Raw genomic sequence first — 21,531 nt, 5'->3', positions numbered from 1 at the left:
AGGTAGCAGTTTGACTCCAGAAGGAATGCTCTCAGCACTCCAGCTCCCTTGCTCAGGGAGCCCACAGTATGGTACAGAAGAACTTATAGCCATCCTTCTCACTTTGTGGCATACCTGGAAACCTGTTAAGCTCATGTTCTGTTTTCATCAAAATCACTGTAAATAACATTGTTCAGGACAGGGTCACTAAGCCTCACCACACAAGGTGTCCCTCCCAGTTGACAATAACCCACTAATAAAACCTTTCCAGAGTATAGTTGTTCTGCAAACAAGAGATCCCTGATTCTATCTGCATTCAGTTCACATTGTTTGATTGGACAACAAAGATATCATGAAAAACTTCGTCAGGTCCTTCGATAAAACCAAATTATATATCTTTGTTTAGTAAACTTATCAAAGGTGGAAAAACAAAATTGGTCAATCCTGTTTTTTCTCTTGGTCTTAGAAGTAACAGCTAACTGTGGCGATGTTTTATCAGGGAGGTTCTTTCACACATTGCTAGTAAAAGCAGAAATGAGTATATCTATCATGTACGTACCCCCATTTTCTTTATCCAGTCTACCACTGATGGGCATTTAGGTTGATTCTATGTCTTTGCTATTGTGAATAGTGCTGCAATGAACAGACACATGCATGTCTTTATAATATCACAATTTATATTCCTTTTGGTATATATCCAGTAATGGGACTGCTGGGTCAAATAGTAGTTGTTTTTAGGTCTTTGAGGAAGCACCACACTCTCTTCCACAACGGTTGAACTAATTTACAGCCATAAAAAAGAATGAGATCATGTCCATTGCAGGAACATGGATGGAGCTGGAGGCCATTATCCCTAGCAAACTAACAGAGTAACAGAAAACCAAATACCGTGTGTTCTCACTTATAAGTGGTAGCTAAATGATGAGAACACATGAACAGACGGAGGGGAACAACACACACTGGGGCCTCTCGGAGGGTGGAGGCTTGGAGGACGGAGAGGATCAGGAAAAATAACTGATAAGTATTAGGCTTAATCCCTGGATGACAAAATAATGTATACAACAAACCCCCATGACACAAGTTTACCTGTATAACAAACCTGCACATGTACTCATGAACTTAAAATTAAAGTTAAATAAAAAAGTAACAATAAAAGATTAAAAAAAAGAAATTAGTATATCCTTTATGGTAAGAAATTTAGAAATATGTTTTCAGAATTCACATCTTTTAACCTGAAAATACCTCTTTTGATAACTCATTTTAAGGAAATAATCAGATGTGGACCAGGATTCATGTAGAAGATGTTTATTGCAGCACTATTTATTTATAATTGTAAAACACTGAAAACAATACGAAAAGTCCTAAAATAGGGGTATTGATAAATAAATTACGTGACATCTATCTCCTGAAATCATAAAAATTTAGTTTATAAATTACTAATTACAGAGAAATGTTTATGATAGGTTCAATTTAAACAGCCAGATAGTCTCTAAAAATGAACTATAATCCACAGTAAGTTTTTTGAAAATATTCTGGTGAACAGATTTATACGTGTGCATATGTATATGCATGGAAAGATGGAAGTGCATAAAATAGATTGTTAGACTGTAATTTTATTTTCCTCTATTTTTCTAAGTGTGCTACAATGAACATGTATTAATTTTATAACCAGAAAAAAATAATAAAAACCATTAGGATGAATCACATGAAACTGTTGATATTCAACTGCTTTTAACTTTTAAAACTAGCACTTTCATGTGCTAATTTAAGCCTAATATTAAGACTAAAAGAAAAAAAATACCAACAGTACCTGTTCTGGGTGAGCCAATAATGATCCTTGGTGACTGCCATAAAGTGCTGAAAAATTGCTTAGCAGTTTTCTCTAGAATTGTATTGTATAGTTCATTCATCTACAAATTTCTAGAGTTCACTGTTTAGAAAACAACCAACACTCCTTGTCTTCCATCTTCTGGACAGAAACCCTCAAGAAAATCCTGACATGGTTACATAACTTGCATCCCAGATTACAAGAGTTATGACTCGATGACCCTGCTGTTTTTGCCCTGAAAAAAAGCACTGAAAGGTTCACCATCTTTTACTGTATGAGGTACTAAAGAATCCCACCTTCAGGCAAAGAGCAATGTCTAGGTACTGCTTAGTACTGTGTTTATTAGAGAATTGAGAGTGTGTGAAACATTCTGACTGATCTTTTGTTTCTTCATGTCCTCCCTACAATTCCTATCGTATTGTGATCAAAAAGACCTGAAGACTTTTCCTAGAAATCTGTTCTAGGAAGGGAAGGTGGTCTCCAAGTTTGGCAAACTTCAGAACACCTGTTATCCTCAGAAGTCCTCAGAGATTACTAGTAGTCATTTCATAATTGTATTATTCTTCACTGATCATACACCAAAGATGAGGCACTGTGCTAGGAATCACAAGAACCTTCAGCATTCTGGGCTGAGATGTAATGCATCTCACTAGGAGATGGAATTTATAAAAGAACTCTTCAATATTTGAAAATTTTTTTCACTTATCTTGAGTTGTGATTTATACTTAATGATTTATCCATAATTTGTGTTACTGTTATGGAATGTGAGGCAGCAACTTTTCATCCTAAAAAAAACTAACCCCCTTCCAGTTCCTGCCCCCCAAAAATCAATACAAATTAATCACAGAAGATTTCAAGTTCTGTTGTCCCATGGCAAACACTTATTATTGAGTACCAGTTATGTGAAAGGCACTATGACAGATGGAACTGTAGAGGTTATCGGTCACCTCCTAAATTAGTAGCTGAGTTGGAATTAGAACCCCCCTTCCCTGCCACCCTTCTTGGTCAGAGATGGGGGTAAGGAAAGGTACAGCCTGAGGACAATTTAAAATTAAGAAAACAAAAAGTTTACTGGATGTAGAAACAGAAGATTCTTTGTGTACCAAAAACAAAACAAAACAAAAAACTTGGTTACCCTCCTGAGTTTAGACCTCTAGCTAGAAAAGAAAAGCCCCCAAGTTTGTAACATAATATGGTTCCTCTTGGGCTTCACCCTGTAAAGACGACATCCCGTACCTCTCTGGACAAATCCTGGCAATGACCAAAGAATCAATGGATCTCACAGTAAGAGATATTCTGTGGGCATGGGCATCATTCTGTAATCTCTAGGCAATGTTTACCTTTCCTTTTTTCTTTAAATTTACCTTAGTCATATGGCATGGAATTTGTTCACAGGGCAATTTCTTTCCTTTCCCTCCACCTCTACTCCCAACTCAGACTATAATCAGGGACCAGGGACCATGGTCTGTCTCACCTTCATATCCCCAGGATTCAATACTGTACCTGGCACATAGTAGGCCAGACGACTGAACTGAATTTGGTCCTAAAAATCTGTAATTTTAAGAAAGAGCTCTCTGTTAAAGTGCAATAACAAAAAAGCTATTATAGCCTTTTCAGTGGTTGTACCACACAGTATTTTCCTTAGTAAGCATACAAAGATAAATACTGTTGATGTCTGTGTTTCCTGTATTTCAGAAGAGTGGCACAAATGTGAGAAGCCATATTCATTTTAGCCACTTACAAATAAAGAGGCCTTGGCAATTTACTTAATCCCTTCAAGACTTTTTCCTCATTTGTAAAAAGAAATAAGAGCCCCCACCCGCAGGGCTGCAGGAGATTAAATGAAATAGAGTAAGTACTGTACGTGGATAGCAGGCACCCAGCCAGAGATTTCCTAGCTTCCACTTCATCCAACCAGGCTGTCTTTATCAATCACCTGAGTGCTATTTTATGTTTTCAGCTCTTCCACAGGTCACATCAGTGCACTTCAATCTGAATCTAATGAGGAGTTCATTTATCCCCTTCAAGTCCCCTTCCCTCCCCAACTTCATCAAATCCTGCCATGAACCACCAATGCCAGAGGCTTGTAACTTTGGCACCTTGATGTTGATAGGTCTTTCCTTCTGCCTTCCCACATTTAGTTCTTATGACTACTCTTTGGAAAGGAAAATTCTGAGACCAAATGGAAGATGACCAACCTCCTGACTCTAGGAATCTGATTCCTTGGGACCTAGGCTATAGCAAGATTCAGGAATTAAGAAGACAGGCTGCCCTGGAAGGAAGCATTACACTTCCCATCACATGAGAATTCAGCACCTCAGGTTCATTTTCAAGAAGACTACAGGCAGCAGAATAAAAACCCAGAAGCCCATTACCAACCTGTAAATAGAAAGGGCAACATGAGACCGGGAGAGCACAAATGGCCAACTTCCATTAATCCAGCCAATGAAACCCCGTGCCAGCACATATTTCAAACCCCCGAAACTAATTAGTTCCAAGGAAAAACATCACCTGACATGATTATGAACGGGTCCAAAAGCTAAGAGTAATTCTTACATAGAATGAGGAAAAAGTGACAGAAAAGAAAAACCCTCCAAATTCGGTGAAATCTACAATACAAAATTAGTTGAAAAACTGGAAACCCCTACTGTGTAAAGCATTAAGAAAAATTAGAGTGGCTAAAACAGAAGGTAATATGCAGTATTAGCAATAGCATGACTTGGTGGCTTCAGCACATAAAAGGGACACACAAGAGGCCAAAGACAGGACACAAAGATAGATAATGTGTGTTAATTCTCCCTTTTCCTTGCAAGAAACAAATTACAACACAGGTTCACTTCATTACACTGCATGTAAAAGAATAAAGCGCTGTTTCCGGGCAACAAACACTTTAGGAGCTTAATATTCACCGTGCAGAATCCTAAAAAGTCAGTGAGTGTCTTGGAATTTCACCACACAAACTTGCGTCACCACACTCTTTTGTGTCAGACTGTTTCATTATCTTCAAGGCTTAACATAATTGGAGCCTCAGCCTAAAAATAGGCTATTTTTGCTTTGCGATGTGATTGGTAAATAAAAGTTAGGGGAGTTTTTATCCCCTTCACTTGTTTTAAACAACTGCTAGCTTCTGCTCATCAAGCAAAGATTACTGAATACATTTTCTGTATCTATTTGTTTATTCTGCTTAAGGCAAACAACCTATGACCTTCACCATTATAACAGATGGTGAGTGGTACAGACAGGCTACACAAAGACATCTTCCAGAACCATGCCAAGTTTGAGCTGTGGTGCATGGCATCACTATTTTATTCCACAAAATACATACGACAGAAAGAATTCCTCCTCATTCCCCATCTTACCACCCTTGCTTCATCACCCAATCCTCTTCCTTAAGAATTCTGTTCCAAAGGCCACATTAACTATGACCATTCAAATTCCATTATGACTGCTGTCAAAAGACTGAGGAAATATAAAAGGAAAATTGAAGCTCTCAGAAAATCTATAAAGTGGCAGCAAATGCTAACCAACCCAGGATGACACACACTAATACAGTACACATCCTTTCAAACAAAAATGGCTCCAAGTACTGTGAAGATACAACACTATTTTCTCCCATCTCCTAATGCCTGTTGCACAGGCAAATACTCAAAAACACAGGCAATGTACTGTGGCAGTTAAGAATGCTTGGACTGCCTAGATTTGAATTATGGCTCCATTTATTCACTAGCTCTGTGATCTTGAGCAAGTTACTTATACTTTCTGTACTTCAGTTCTCTCAACTATAAAAGGGAAATAAAATAATGACATAAAACCCCATACTAACTTGCCACACAATCAAGCAAAGTCAGATCTAACTCAATTGAGGATTGCTTCCCATCCTCCACCCAGCTCCCACTTATAGGAACAGGGTAAAGCTTTTACCAAGGGAGTGGATGAGTAATAGGCAGGATACTAAGAAATGACTAGCCTGTAACCATTTAGATTTTCTCAGTTCAGTACATTTCTACACATGTAATAAATGCAAACATTTTCTCCTCCACGCCCACCTCCACTAACTAGAAATTGAAGATTACAATTTCTCATAAACCTCAAAATAACATGACTCCTACATTTTATACAGTTAGAAAAAAATTTTTTGGACTGTGCTTATATGTTTACTATTCATATAAAGTGCTTAGAACAGTGTCTAACAGGATCATATGCTTAATATATCTCAGCTATTATTGTCTCCAATTTAACTGCATGTCTAATTATTTACTATTTACATGCAAAGGAGACAGTGAGACCAGATCCTAATTCTCTCTGGAAGTTCATAACTGATACCCAACCTAAGGGGGGCGGGCAGTCAAATGTGCCACACTAAACTGAGTGGAGGAGGGGAGAAACAGTATACTCCAAAATGAAAAAGAATAAATTAGGAGGCATTACCATAGTATTTAACTATAGCTACATTTTTTCCTCCAATAGCTAACTTCAAATATAATTACAGTGATTCAATTTATCAGCAAATGGCTTACACAGGCTACTAGTGGATAAAATGAGATGTCCTGTACTAGAATAGAGGTCCAAAGTGTGATTATAGCAGCAATCTCCATTTTAAGAAATCCGTTTGTTCCCGTGAATTCGTCTTTCCTCTCTACATGTGAATTCAGTAGGTGAACATCAAGTAGTTAAATCTGAAGTCTATGATGGTAAGGAAAACACTGAACAGCTTCAAAAGCAAACAGAAAACACAGAACACATGCACTGATTCAGTGAACTCTAATAAAAAGGAGAATTTTAAAAAACTAATTGATTTAAACAATCTTGCTTTAAGATCAACAGCCCAATTTCTTCTCATGCTTTTTAATCTACGATCCATATCTCCTACACCTACCATAATTCTAATTTTCTAATTTTCACATAGAATAATTTTAGAAAATAAACACAAAATCCTCCCACCCCTCTCCAAAATCCTATAATAATAAGGCAATGATACAGATGTGGAAGGAGCCCACAGCTGATAAACCCAGCTCCTTCAATAACCAAAACTAGTACACATAGTTCCTTGCCAACCATCATCTCCAAATTTTGAGATTTTGGTTTGTTTAAACCAAAACAAATTATTTATAGCTTTTTTTCCTCAGCTCCTTCCCATGCCAGGTTTACCTAATCACCTATAATCACTATCCATAGAATTTGGCAACTCACCTCATCAGTCTTCACCTTTCTTCAGAAATCTGAAAACCAAAGCTCAAAAACCAAAGGAATGAACTACACAAAACAGATGGAAAGCAGGTAGCTGACTTAATTCAACAAATACCAACGAAGCACCTACTATGTGTCAAGGTCTATGCTAGGGGCTGTGTTTGCAGGAGTGAGTTAAACACACTGCCTACCCCAATGGAGCTCACAGCTGAATAAGGAAGATGTATATAAACAAGCAAACACATAAGTCAGTGATTACAAAATGATGAGTGCCAAAATGGGAATGAAACAGGGTGTTGAGCTAGAAAAGATCATGACAGAGAAACTCTTGCACCTGTGTACAAATAGACAAGTAGAGGAATGCTTACTTTTCATAACAGTAAAACACTGACGACAATCTAAATGACCATCACTTGAGAAAGGGAAAAATACACTGTAGAATATTTGTATGATGGAATACTATACAGCAGTTCAAATAAGTGATCAGATATGTATACATCAACATGGATATCACTCAAAAATATAATGTTGAGTGAAAAAAGTTGCAAACTGAAAAATGATAAGATACCATCCACATAAATTAAGTGAGCACATTCATAGGTAACAAAAACATGGAAAAAGGAAAGATACATATCAGCTTCATAACAGTTGCCTCTGGAGAGGAAAGGAGGAAACTGGGGAAGGGCACACATTACCAACCTCAACTATCTGTAATGCTCTCTTTTACTTAAAATCTGAAATAATTATGACAAAATCTTAACATGTATTAATTCTGGAAAATTGGCACATGGGTATATTTCACCCTATAAAATTAGTGAGAAAAAATTTTTTATTTAAAAATGAGAGATGGCGGTGTGCTGGATGGATCTATTTAGAAAGAGTAGTCAGGAAAGGTCTCATCAAGAAGGTGGCATAAGGCCAGGCGCAGTGGCTCACGCCTGTAATTCCAGCACTTTGGGAGGCCAAGGCAGGTAGATAACCTGAGGTCAGGAGTTCAAGACCAGCACGGCCAACCACGGCGAAACCCTGTCTCTACAAAAAATACAAAAATTAGCTGGGTGTGGTGGTGCGTGCCTGTAATCCCAGCTACTCAGGAGGCTGAGGCACAAGAAATGCTTGAACCCAGGAGGTGGAGGTTGCAGTGAGCCAAGAGCACCACTGCACTTCAGCCTGGGCAATAGAGCAAGACTCTGTCTCAAAAAAAAAAACAAAAAAAAAAACAAAAAAAACACCACGCACACACAAGAAGGTGACATATAAGCTGAGACCTGAAGAGAGAAAAATACAACCCTGCACCAAGCCTGGGAAGGAGCATTCCAGGCAGAGGAAACCAGATGCACAAGGTCCCTATGGAGGGACAGAATTCATGTGTGTGAAGAACTGAAAGAACAGGGTAGCCCATGTGGCTGGACTAAAGCAGGGGTGCAGGTGAGGGAGCAGCAGGTAGGAGGCACAAAAATGAGGTAAAAGGAGAGGTGAAGTGATCCACGTAGGACCTTGGAGTCCAAGGTAAACTGAAATAGGAAGTCAATGAGGAATCAAAGCAGAATGATATGATGCAATTACACCTTAAAAATATAGGGTTGAGAATAGATTGGGGGGGACAAGAGTAGAAGGGAGACACCACAGGGAGGCTGATGCAGTGATCCTGGCCAGAGATGATGGTGGTCTAAACTAATCAGAGCAGTGGCAGTGTCAATGGAGAGAAATGGATTAATCCGAATATTTTGGAAGTAACACTGGCAGGACTTAGTAATAACTGCACCTTACGACTGTAATGAGAAGAAAGTGACAGGAAAGAGCTATTTCTTAAATAGCATAAAAATACTGTTTGCCATTTTGTACCCACTACTTTAAAGCATTCTACTACATGTTGCTGAAGGACATGAAAAAACATGCCTGGCCCCTGAATCTATTTAGTAAAACTGAGTGAACAAACTTCGCAAACTCATGAATATCAAGCTCCTAAGAAGAAACAAATGTAAACATAAGCTGAGCTCATTAAGTTGCAGAGTGAAGAAAATCAGTTTTAAATCAGTCATAAAAAGTGAGTTTTGAGGAAGACTGACAGAAATTACACTACACAGAAATTAGTGGTGTAGGTGGACAAAGGCACTAAAAGCAGGAGAAATGGCAAAGTAAAAACACAAACTTGAAAAATAACTGGGCAAATAGCATACAAACTGGCCTTTTTAGAGAAGACTGCTAAGCATTAAACAAGAGAAAAATGTAATTGGAGGTAAGAGGCTCTGAGGAGAGGGCAGACAGAACGGTAGAAGGTTGTTTATTTTTTAGCTAGCATTAACTGAGTACTTATTATGTATCAAACGCATTTCAAGGCATTAACACACATTATCTCATTTAATTTTCCCAACAACCTCACCGGGCATTTACCATTATTAAAAATGAGGAAGCAGAGGGTCAATGAGGTTAAGTAACTAGTTAATAGATCCCAACTCAGGGAGAAGCAAAACAGGGACACAGCTGTGTTTGCCTCTTCAGTCCACACACTCACCTAGTAAAGCAGTAAGCTGTAGGTAGCAGGTATACAGAACAGGGAGCCTGGATTCCAGTTCTGACACTTAGGTGAGCTGTTTTACAAGTAACTTCCTTGTGCCTCAGATTCTTGATCTATAAACTATGGATAATTACATTATCTTCCTATAGCAAATCAGTCTGACCACCATTACTGCACTCAAACAGCACCAACTAAAGTAAAAGATCACCTCCATATCCCAAAATTCAATGGAAATTTTTCAAAACTATCATCAGTGTCTCTTCCTGACAGTTGCCTACTACTTCCCTGAAATGCTCTTCACTGGTTTCACAACACCATGTTTTCCCACCTCTTCTCATTCTCTGGCTGCTCTTTCACGGTCTACTTTTTAAAGCCTGTCCTCCTCTACCAAGTCATTAAATGCTGGGGTTCCTTAAGACTGAGTCCTACACCCACTTCTCTTTCCACTCTCTCCTCTCTCCCAAAGTAATCTCATCCATGTCCATGGCTTCATTTAACAATGACTATAAACCAATGACTCCCCAGTTTATATTCTGCAACCTCAAAATTAACATGTCTACGATCAAACTGTTCATCTTTCCCTCCTCCTGCCCCAAACCTGGTCATCTTCCAGTGCTCTTCATCTCAGTGAAAGGTACTCCATCTTCCTACACAAGTCAGCCAAGAGTTGACCTTGATACCTTCCCCATCCTAAGCCCCACATCCAATATACCACCCAGTTTTACTGATACTTTTTCTCTTAAATCTCTCTCATATCTGGGTCCTCCTCCCTCCACTGACTGCCATCACACTAGTCAAGCTACCACCATCACTTGCCTGGAATTCTATTCTAATAATAGCCTGCTAATCAGTTTCCCCTCATCCACTCTGGCCCCTCCAACTCACTGAGGCAAAGTGATCTTCTCAAAATGGAAATGTGAGCCAATCTCCCCCAACATATAAAACCTATTAACATCTGGCCGGGCGTGGTGGCTCATGCCTGTAATCCCAGCACTTCGGGAGGCTGAGGTGGGTGGATCATTTGAGGTTAGGAGTTCTAGACCAGCCTGGCCAACATGGTGAAACCCCAACTCTACTAAAAATACAAAAATTAGCCAAGAGTGGTGGCGCACACCTGTAGTCCCAGCTACTTGGGAGGCTGAGGCAGGAAAGTCACTTGAACCCGGGAGGCAGAGATTGTAGTGAGCCAAGATCATGCCACTGTACTCCAGCCTGGGCGACAGAGCGAGACTCTGCCTCAAAAAAAAAAACCCAAAAAACTATTAACATCTGCCTCTTGGTCAACGTGGCCTGCAAAGCCCATATGGTGTGACCTTGATTACCCCTCCAGCCTTGCCTCCTATCACTCTCCCCTTCCTTTCTATACTTCAGCTACCTCAGCCTTCTCAGTGCCCTGGCCACATAATGCTTCCAACCACCACAGGACCTCTACACATGCTAGCCCTCACTCTAGAATGCTTATTCTTCCAACTCTTTACCTAGTTAACTCCAGCCCACACTTTCTAGATCTCAGCTCAAGTACCAAAGGATCAGGAAAATTTTGACTTTTCAGTCCAGGTCAAGGGCCTTTGCTATCAAGACTCAGAAATTCATGTGCCTTTTCTTAGCACTTATTTTCTTTCAGAATGACATAATTATTCATTGACCATTTGATTAACAGCTCTCACCTAATGGACTGAACACTCCATGAAGACAAGGTCCTTGAATGCTTAAGTTTACCACTGTCTCCCTAACAGCAGCACCACGTGGCATGCCTGACACTTGCTAGGTACTCGGAGCCTTGCACGAATGCTTCCCCTGGGTTGTTCTGAGAAACAACAGTAGATAGCTACTCTATGTTAAGGTGCTTTGTAACTGAAGCCCACTGAGCAGTAATTATCATCATCTAGCACCCCTCTGACAAGTGAAAAACCAAAGGCAGAATGGATGACTTGCTCAAAGCCACAAAAAGTAAACAAGTGGGTGAGCACCCCTGGTGTGCAGTCCAGGGCTTTCTCCAGTGCATACTCAGGCATTTCAGTAAGATTTTTGCACCTACAACAGGTCCTTTCTCTTGTTTACTAGTAAGTAATCACAAGTTTAGCTTCCCAAGCTCTAGCTCTAGTTTTACTGGAATCATTACCGAAGGCTTTCCTCTCAAGGCAGTGGGTCACAAGCAATGTCATTTGTCTCCATTTCCCTCCATGTACACACTCAGCAAATATCACTTGAAGAATTCCTGGCTATGAGGCAAGAACCAGTAATTGAATTAAATATATTCAGCCACTCTAAGCCAATCTTCTGAAGACAAATTATTTTTTTCTGCCCTATCAGGACATCATTAAAGAAGAAATACCCGGATTTTTCCTGTGATTATCAGCTATCCATCACATCGTGCCATGCAGTCCAATGTAAATAGAACACGCACCCTACCCTGTTGGTCAGGGCTCAGAAATGTTACATGTGGCCTCAAGAACAATTTACATTATTAATAGCCCATGAGCTGATTCCTTTCTCTAAGCCACCACACCCCAACCCTCCTCCTCCCTGCCTGCAGAAGGCACACCACCCTCCTGCACAGGGCTGAAAATGTCGTCTGTGGTTAAGTCAGCAGCGATGAAAAACCCATGAAACAAATATAGCCAAATGTCTGACACTCCAAATCATAAAAGAAACCTAATATCTTTGTTCCACTCCCATCTCCGCTCAACTCTTAGTCCTAAGGCAAAATAAATAAAAAAATAAATAAATCAATCTCATCACTAGCCTCAAAACAGCAAATCTTTTGTCAAATGTAAAACAACAAAGCCAATAAAAACAGGTAATACAAAATCAAACCCAAGCCTATAAAGAAGAATTAGTAATTAGAAGAATTCCAAAGATGACACAGAAACCATTTCTGGAAATCACTCATGCTTTGTTGCTCTTTTAAAAATGTGAGTAAAAATTCACTTTTCAGCTACATTCTATTTCATATTGCTTTTTAAAACAGAATTTTCAAAGAAAAAATTTTAATGTTGAGACTCATACATTCAAGTTTAAAAGGGATACAAGCCAATTCAACCACAAAATTAACAATAAAAAGGAAACAAGGACAGCTGCACAACCTGACTCTGGTACTAAATTTCAAAGTAAGTCTAAGATCTCTAAAACCATGACCACAGGGCTCAGGAATCCCTGGCTGAAAATCAAACGGCTTCTTCACACATACATAAAACTATTCTTCTCCCCGCCTTCCAAAACTCCCACAACTTACCAATCTCAGTTCATTGTAATTTAACACAGTATTTATGATCTGGCAAATTGACACAGGCTCATGCTGCCCACTGCAATGATAACACACAAACAGAAGGTACTAATTCTATTAGTCTTCCCTCAGTCAGCTGGTCCTGAGCCATAACAAGCCCAATGAGCTTGTTTTGTTTTCTAAATTTGACAGGGATGTGTCTTTAATGGGTCTGACCATACTGTTGTGACGGGTATGCTAAAGCCACCAGGCAGCCGAGGCTGCCAAAAGTAGGTTTTTCCAATTAGCAATAAATAGACTCAGCATGGCTAACATAAGGAGACAGTGTGGTAACATCCTGTACACCATCAGATTCAAACACTTGAGCATGTGATTCATTTGGGGGGTGGGAAATTTGCAATGTTGCTGAGTGCTGCCATGTCACCCATAAATGTATACCTGGGCAGATGAGGAAAGGGAAAGCCTGTGAGGTCAATATTTTGGTTTTCTAGTGATCCTTTCTCTCCAATCCATCTATCTGCAATTTGTGAAAAGAAGAAAAAAAAATTATATGGGAGAAAAAAGTGAAGTTATATGATTATTCTTCCCTTTCCTTAAGAGAAGCACTATCCAGGAAATTGCCTACCTAGACCAACTGTAGAACCAGACAATTAAACCTTATACCGATTTCTATGCCACTGGTGAATAGTGGTTAATAACTTCACACTTTTCTTTTTATCGCTTAACAAGGAGGGAATGGCACTTTCCAAATCATTACTGCTCTGTCATCTTGGTTCACTGCCAAAGCAAGGGCTTCAAAACACCTGTCAAATAACACATGGCTTGTGAAAAAGAAATAGATACCAAAATAGGTTTATTTAAAATTTTCACATATGGAGAAAAATGGAATGAATTTGGGTTAACAAAGTCACTCATTCTGGTGAGGGGTGGGGAAGAAAAAGATTTCCAGGACTCAATTTATGTGATTCTAGTCAAAGTAATGAAACTTAATCTATCTCAGCAGAGATCAGTGGTGCTGACACAAGGTCAGTCTTAATAGCATTTATCTTCTCATCCTTAGCCACATTCCCAATGGTTTCAGTAATTAAAAAGGCAAAATTACAAGGCAAAAATACTCTGTCCCTATCTTTTCAGATAAAAGTTCCTAGGTTCCCACTACAAATGTACGAATTATCCTTTTTCTTGTTTGAGTATCCTGGCCATTCTTATAAATTCAAAATAGGCTTAAATATCAAGACCTTCTTTAAAAAATATACCACTTCCCTATCTACCCATCTATAACTACAGAAACTACCAAGTGAGTGTGATCCCAGAGGTAAGGCAAACAAACATCCACTATGTAGAGCACAGGGCTTAGGGGCTAGGTAGAACAAAAAAACATCTGAAATGCACTCCCTGACAAACTGAAGTAGAGGTTGGAGAATACAGAAATAATTTGAGGCTGCAGACTTTTGTTTTGTGTTAATACAAAATTTTTAAGTATTGATACTAGTTTATGCAGACCCATGTGAAAAATCTAGTAATAAGAAATCCAATATATGGGTGGAAAAAGGCACAAATTTGGATTGAGAATAAGGAAATTCCATCTTCCTTGATGAAAGAAGCCCTGGAATTTTAAAGATTAGTATTGACTGAAGATTCAGCAAGACTGGAAAGGCCAACTCACAACCCCAGGACCATATCTTATTACCTTTGACACTTAGTAGTATAATGTATGTGTAGGAGAGGGGTGCGGGTGCCCACACCTGGATTCCTTAAAGCACAGGTAAAACTAAGATGTGGTGACCACTCAAAAACTTCAGCAAATGCAGGCCAGGCACAGTGGCTCATGCCTGTAATCCCAGCACTTTGGGAGGCCAAGGAGATCGAGACCATCCTGGCTAACATAGTGAAACTTCATCTCTACTAAAAATACAAAAAAATTAGCCGGGCACGGTGGCGGGTGCCTGTAGTCCCAGCTACTCGGGAGGCTGAGGCAGAAGAATGGTGTGAACCCGGGAGGCGGAGCTTGCAGTGAGCCAAGATCACGATGCTGCACTCCAGCGAGACAGTGCGAGACTCCGTCTCAAAAACAAAAAAACAAAAAAACAAAAAACAAAAAACTTCAGCAAATGCAAAGGGGATAAACAAAAGATGGCTAAATGGCCTCCTTGATGTAGCTTTCTTCTCTTACACTCACAGACCCCAGGCAAGATTTGACCTAGTCTTTCTCTTCCCAGCTGTCTCTTACATCAACTGGCTTGTGTCCTCCTAAACCTGTACCTTTCAATGTCCAAAAACCTAAAAGGCACACAGAGGCCAATATCCATGCATCTTAGAGATATGCTAGTTTCCAACTATTAAGAAAGAAGAATAAGGTTATTCTGAATTTGTCTCAAGTCTAACATCTTAGCCATTTTGAAAGAAATACTCAGTATTTTCAAGCATATAGAGTAATTAAAATCAAGCCTAAGTGTAACCCACTTATTTAATCTCTATAAATGCAACACTGTTATAATAGATTATATATAACATATATATTATATGCTTACCATATATTTTTCATATAAGTATATATTGTTTATTATAATGCAAGCATATATAAGCATAAATTATTCTATATACTTGAATTTTTATCATCGCATTTCTCTCAAATTACTGAAAGTCTAAGTTATAATCTGGACTGGGCTTCCATGGGGTGTTTCCAAATTACAGCTTCCTTTTTTCACCTTTATTTGAAAGTACCAACATTACTTTCATCAATTTTTGAAAGAATGTAGACAAATGGACAAGCAAACAGATGGTTCCTTAGTACAAGTTCATCAATATAAACGATCTGCAGATAAAATGCCACTTACTTAAATGTAGATAGTTGTTTCTACAGTACAGGCTGAGTATCCGAAATGCTTGGAACCAGAGTGTTTGAATTTGGAATTTTGGAATATTTACATTATACTGGATGAGCATCCCTAATTCAAAAATCTGAAATACAAAATGCTCCATGAGCATTTCCTTTGAGTATCATGGCGGCACTTAAAGTTTCAGAGTTTGGGCTGGGCGCGGTGGCTCATGCCTGTAATCCCAGCACTTTGGGAGGCTGAGGCAGGCAGATCACAAGGTCAGGAGCTCGAGACCATCCCGGCTAACACAGTGAAACCCCGTCTCTACTAACAATACAAAACATTAGCCGGGCATGGTGGCGGGCGCCTGTAGTCCCAGCTACTCGGGAGGCTGAGGCAGGAGAATGGCGTGAACCCAGGAGGTGGAGCCTGCAGTGAGCCGAGATCGCACCACTGCACTCCAGCCTGGGCAACAGAGCAAGACTCTGTCTCAAAAAAAAAAAAAAAAAAAAAGTTTCAGATTTTGGAGCATTTCAGATTTTTAGATTAGGGACACTCAACCTGTATTTTTAATGGTATATGAAAAGAACCTAGGCTCTGAAATAACTATTAATGTGTACTAAGAAGAATTTCAACTCATTCCATCTGAATTACCACAAATTCTAAATGAGTAGAATGTGAATTAATAAAGCTGAATAGTATGTGTTATCAGTTCTGAAGAACTGCCGGGAATTTAGAATCCAAACATCCCTGAAATATGACAATAGAAACGAAATTTAAAAATTATCTGGCTTCAAATTTTATAATGTAAGCAACTTTGAAAGTGATAGGTAATTCATGATCACTAACAAAGGATATTGCTTTTTTTTAACATAAAATATGTCTGCCAAAATACATTAAACCTTCATATTAGCCTTAAAAGAAATTCTCATATTAAAAAAAATCAAAATGTTAGTAGGTCAGCTGAAGTTAAAAGTAGTCTTAATGGTGGCTATAAAAATTCTGGAGACAGAATTAGAACTCATCCCTCCTACCACCCACACAGTTTAAATGGGTCTGGTTTGGCAAGAAAATTCTTCGCACTGCCATGTTTTAGGTGACAAAAGTATACATTTTTAAGGCTAAAGTTTCCCCTCAAGTTACATAAGAGGCCAGAAATGAAACATAAGAACCAGCGTTCTTTATCATTTTTCACATCATGGTCCCCTTTGAGTCTCTTAAATGCTATGCATCCTCTCCTCCAAAAAAGTACACATATGCACAGACACACAAAATATTACATACAACTTCAGAGGATTCACAGACCTCCCCTTTACTCTACTTGGGTTGAGGGAAGTTCTCATATGACAATCTAAGAATCAGTAAAATTTCAATTTTTTTTTTTTTTGAGATGGAGTCTCACTCTGTTGCCCAGACTGGTGTGCAGTGATGCGGTCTCGGCTCAGTGCAACCTCTGCCTCCCGGGTTCAAGCAGTTCTCCTGCCTCAGCCTCCTGAGTAGCTAGGATTACAGGCACCTGCCACCACGCCCGGCTAATTTTTTGTATTTTTAGCAGAGACGGGGTTTCACCATGTTGGCCAGGCTGATCTTGAACTCCTGACCTCAGGTGATCCACCCGCCTCAGCCTCCCAAAGCGCTAGGATTACAGGTGTGAGCCACCGCGCCCGGCCCAAACTTTGTATTTTTTACATGTCCAAAAGATTGTTTTCCTTCCTTCTTACAACCTTTAGTGTAATTTCCTCTATTTTCACTGACTATATCTGCTACTGTTGGAAATATGAGCTACTCTTTCATGACTATCTTTTAGACCATGGGTTTGCAAGCTTTTTCTGTAAAGAGCCAGATAGGACATATTTTAGGCTTTGGAGTTCACTCAGTATCTCTGGCAACTACTCAACTCTGCTGTTGTAGCACAAATGCAGCCATAAACAAATGGGTAGGGCTGTGTCCCAATCAAACTTAATTTACAAAAAAAGGCAGTTTTGAGTTGAGTTAGCCCATGGGTCAAAGTCTGCCAACCCCTGGAATACAGGAACAATACAGGAACGTTCAATAACTCTACAAGGAAGCAAACAAGTACAATTAGATTCCTAACTTGTATCATTCCTAAAAATAATTTCTAGAAGGATTAAAGACCTAAATAAGAAAATCCAAACCTTGCAACTTTTAGAAGAAAACAGGGGAGAATGTCTACGTCACTAGAGGAGGGAAAGCTTTCTTGTGGGAAAAAAACCCACATAGTGTAAGGAGGAAAAAATTAAATATCTGGCATTAAAATTAGAAACTTCTGCATAATGAAAGACTACAAATAAAGTAAAAGGACAAGCCACAGACTGAAAGAGATCTCTGCAGCACAAATGACAAAACAAGGATTGGCTTTTGAATACCTAAGAATACTAAGAGACATACAATCCAACAAAATAGAACATCTATGTTCTATTCAGACAAGAAAATGGAAGAGTTAATAAACACATGAAAAGATGCCCAACTTAACTAATAATTTTAAAATGTAAATTAAAATCACAATGAGATACCCTTTCATACCCATGAGACTGACCAAAAAATAAAAACTCAGATAATAAGTGCTGCAAGGATGTGGAATATCAAGGATTATGCAACAAGTCTAAGTATATATATAGTAAGTTTAAAATGCCTCAACAGAGAACTAAACAAAAATTCAAAGAAGCAAAATTGTATATCAAAATCCTTTCCAATTCTCTTAAGATTAGCCTCTGACACTGTGACTGAGGGAGTTACGTATTGTGGCTCCAGCCAGACATATGAATTTAGCTACTTGATTTTTAAAAATGAGCTTGCTGTGATAAATTAAATGGCTGCTCTTATCAATAAAGCCTCATATACTGCTGTGGATGTTGTACAAATTCCACTCCTAGAAATATACCAGAGAAACTCTCACAAAGGTGGTATTGTCTACTTCAGTACTGTTTGTAACAGCAAATAATTAAGACAAATGAAAACTTGGAAACCTAAAGATATGGATGATGGCAGAATTAAAAAATACACTGTGCTATATTCATCGAAATATTATACAATAGTTAACATGAATGAATCAAATCTAAAAATGTATCAAGATGAATATACTTAAAATGTGGCATACAGAGTAGAGTTTTTCTCCTGCTTTTCCAAACTGCAAAAGAATATGTATAGCATGACACATACATGGTAAAAACTTTTAACACACCACATGTATATACACGTTGCAGAAGCAAAAAAGAACAACCCATGGGCAAGAATGACAAAACCAACTCTGGGCAAGTTACCTCCGAAAAAGAAAAAGAAATGAGAGAGGATGGGGAGGAAATGGTCTTTAGTTGTCTCTATAATATTTTATTGCTTTTACTTTTTTAAAGAAAAACTAGGCTATTAAGAGATCACAGCGGGGTGCGGTGGCTCATGCCTGTAGTCCCAGCACTTTGGGAGGCCGAAGTGGGCGGATCACCTGAGGTCAGGAGTTCAAGACCAGCCTGACCACGGAGAAACCCCGTCTCTATTAAAAATACAAAATTAGCCGAGTGTGGTGGCACGTGCCTGTAATCCCAGCTACTTGGGAGGCTGAGGCAGGAGAATCGCTTGAACCCGGGAGGTGGAGGTTGTGGTGAGCCGAGATCACGCCATTGCACTCCAGCCTAGGCAACAAGAGTGAAACTCTGCCCCCCTGCCCCCCACAAAAAAAAAAAGAAAGAAAGAAAGAAAAAGATTGCAAAAGTGAAATTTTTGGTTATTTACAGGTAAAGATGAAAGACTTCTCTTAATATTTAATTGTAAAATTCTTCATAGTCACTCATTCTCTTTCATCACCAACATCAACAAAGGCTAGAGCCCTCTGTCCTAGTGCCATTTCCCAAGGGATCCTGATAGGTGCTACCACATCACCAAGAAAATCCCAGAAAGGCTTGCCAAGATTGTAATGTTTGCATTAATGATTTGGATACACTTTTAATGTGCACAAATTCCAGCTCCAACACAACTAAAAGCCAGGCAGTCTACGACCAACTGGCAAGCAGGCTGGCAAAGCTTATTTCAGCCTATCAGGTAGGAAAATGAAAATGCATGGACTCTATACCTAAACATCAGAGCATACATTTTAAAATGCAATAAAAAATCCAGACCAAAAATGGCTTTCTCAAGGACACAGAAATAAGAGAGTAGAGAAATAAAATAATACCAATGTCAGTAAGTACTAATTATTCCATCAAGACAAATATTCCCGTTAAACTAAAGTTATGCAATGAGTATACTTATAAGTACATAGTCAGTTTTAAATTCCCCAATAAAGCCAGGCACAGTGGCTCCTATCTATAATCCTACAGCTTTGGGAGGCCAAGGTGAGAGGATCCCTCGAGGCTAGGAGTTGGAGACCAGCCTGGGCAATACACCAAGACTCCATCTCTACAAAAAATAAAAATAAATTTGCCAAGGATGGTGGCATATGCCTGTAGTCCTAGCTACTAGGGAGGCTGAGGGGAGAAGATTGTCTGAGTCCAGGAATTCAATGCTGCAGTGAACTATGATCACACCACTGCTCTCCAGCCTGGGCAAGAAAGTGAGACCCTGTTTCTTAAAATAAAATAAAATAAAATAAAATAAAATAAAATAAAATAAAATAAAATAGGCCTGGCGTGGTGGCTCATGCCTGTAATCCCAGCACTTTGGGAGGCCGAGGCAGGTGGATCCGGAGGTCAGGAGATCGAGACCATCCTGGCTAACACAGTGAAACCCCGTCTCTACTAAAAATACAAAAAATTAGCTGGGCATGGTGGTGGGCGCCTGTAGTGTAGTCCCAGCTACTCGGGAGGCTGAGGGAGAGTAGAATGGCGTGAACCCGGGAGGCGGAGCTTGCAGTGAGCCGAGATGGCACCACTGCACTCCAGCCTGGGCAACAGAGAGAGATTCCATCTCAAAAATAAATAAATAAAATAAAATAAAATAAAAAATTTCGCAATAAAAAAACAAATTCAAAAAGGCAAAATCATATATCAAAATCATTTCCAATTCCCTTTAGATTAGCTTCTGATACTGTGACTGAGGGAGTCATGTATCGTGTCTCCATGGCCAGAAATCAGAATTTAGCTACTCGATAGAAGAATTAACTTGCTATGATAAATTACTGTTCCTATCAATATAACTAATGATTAAAAAATCATAATTATTTTAAACACTAGAGTATTACAATCCTTTGGGCCAGTTTTAGCTTTTCTTTAATAGTTCCAAAATTAATAAAAGTCTAAAATGTGGACAGATTTAACTCATTAAATTGCCTTCACTATTGTTCACAGAATAAAATCCTTAATTGATTAATGATCTCAGGGTGTCTATCGCCATCTAGTGAACAATCACTTCAATTACCACATCAGACATTTGACAACTGATACCCCTTTTCTTCATGGTTTAAAAATATATGTCCACTCAGTGCCATAGGCTTGCCCAATTTCTTTTTTATGCCTCTCTACACACACATTGAGAACAAACACAAATACAGATGGTATTTCTATAGATCCACAGAGTACTCTGAAACACTGACTTCATTACTTTTAAATAACGTACACACTGTGAGATCCCTCATACAATTCCTTACCCATTAGCTCATTCCTCTACCACAAAGCAATTCAAAATCATGGAAGAGTTTAAGCGTGAAAGATCACACCTGTGAAAAGACAATATTGATGCCCATTTGACACAACTACTAGCACTTTTATTATAAACCTGTTTTAAAAAGTACAATTAGTAATTACTCTGAGTATTCTAGCAGCCATAATACATTTGATTACAGAAATTATTAGGTCGCTAGAGCCAAACGTGCACGATTCCAGGAAAACTGAGCAAACACAAAATAGACTTAAAAATAAAAAGGAAAAGGGGGCTTCAAGGCCTCCCTAGGCTGTGTATTAATCCACATCCAAATGCAAAATTTTATAATCTTTTGCAATGGCATGCTACCAGGTTTCCTTCTCAT

The 21,531-nt window shown here is 39.0% G+C and overlaps 1 protein-coding gene across 14 annotated transcripts in view, besides 1 other annotated feature; it reads right to left on the bottom strand.

The window, feature by feature from the left end:
* POLA1 (DNA polymerase alpha 1, catalytic subunit) overlaps positions 1–21,531 on the bottom strand; it is a 303,069-nt gene that overhangs the window by 223,480 nt on the left and 58,058 nt on the right. The window lies entirely within an intron of this gene.
* Positions 7,851–8,351: an enhancer, noted in NCBI's record as "H3K27ac hESC enhancer chrX:24783273-24783773 (GRCh37/hg19 assembly coordinates)". NCBI's record gives its function as "activates a minimal SCP1, AML or CMV promoter by ChIP-STARR-seq in naive H9 embryonic stem cells {active_cell/tissue: H9 hESC(naive)}" and the evidence as "EXISTENCE:reporter gene assay evidence [ECO:0000049][PMID:30033119]".

Source organism: Homo sapiens, chromosome X (genome assembly GCF_000001405.40).
Source record: "Homo sapiens chromosome X, GRCh38.p14 Primary Assembly".
NCBI classification, from domain to species: domain Eukaryota; kingdom Metazoa; phylum Chordata; class Mammalia; order Primates; family Hominidae; genus Homo; species Homo sapiens.
This window is presented reverse-complemented; position numbering and strand designations above follow the sequence as displayed.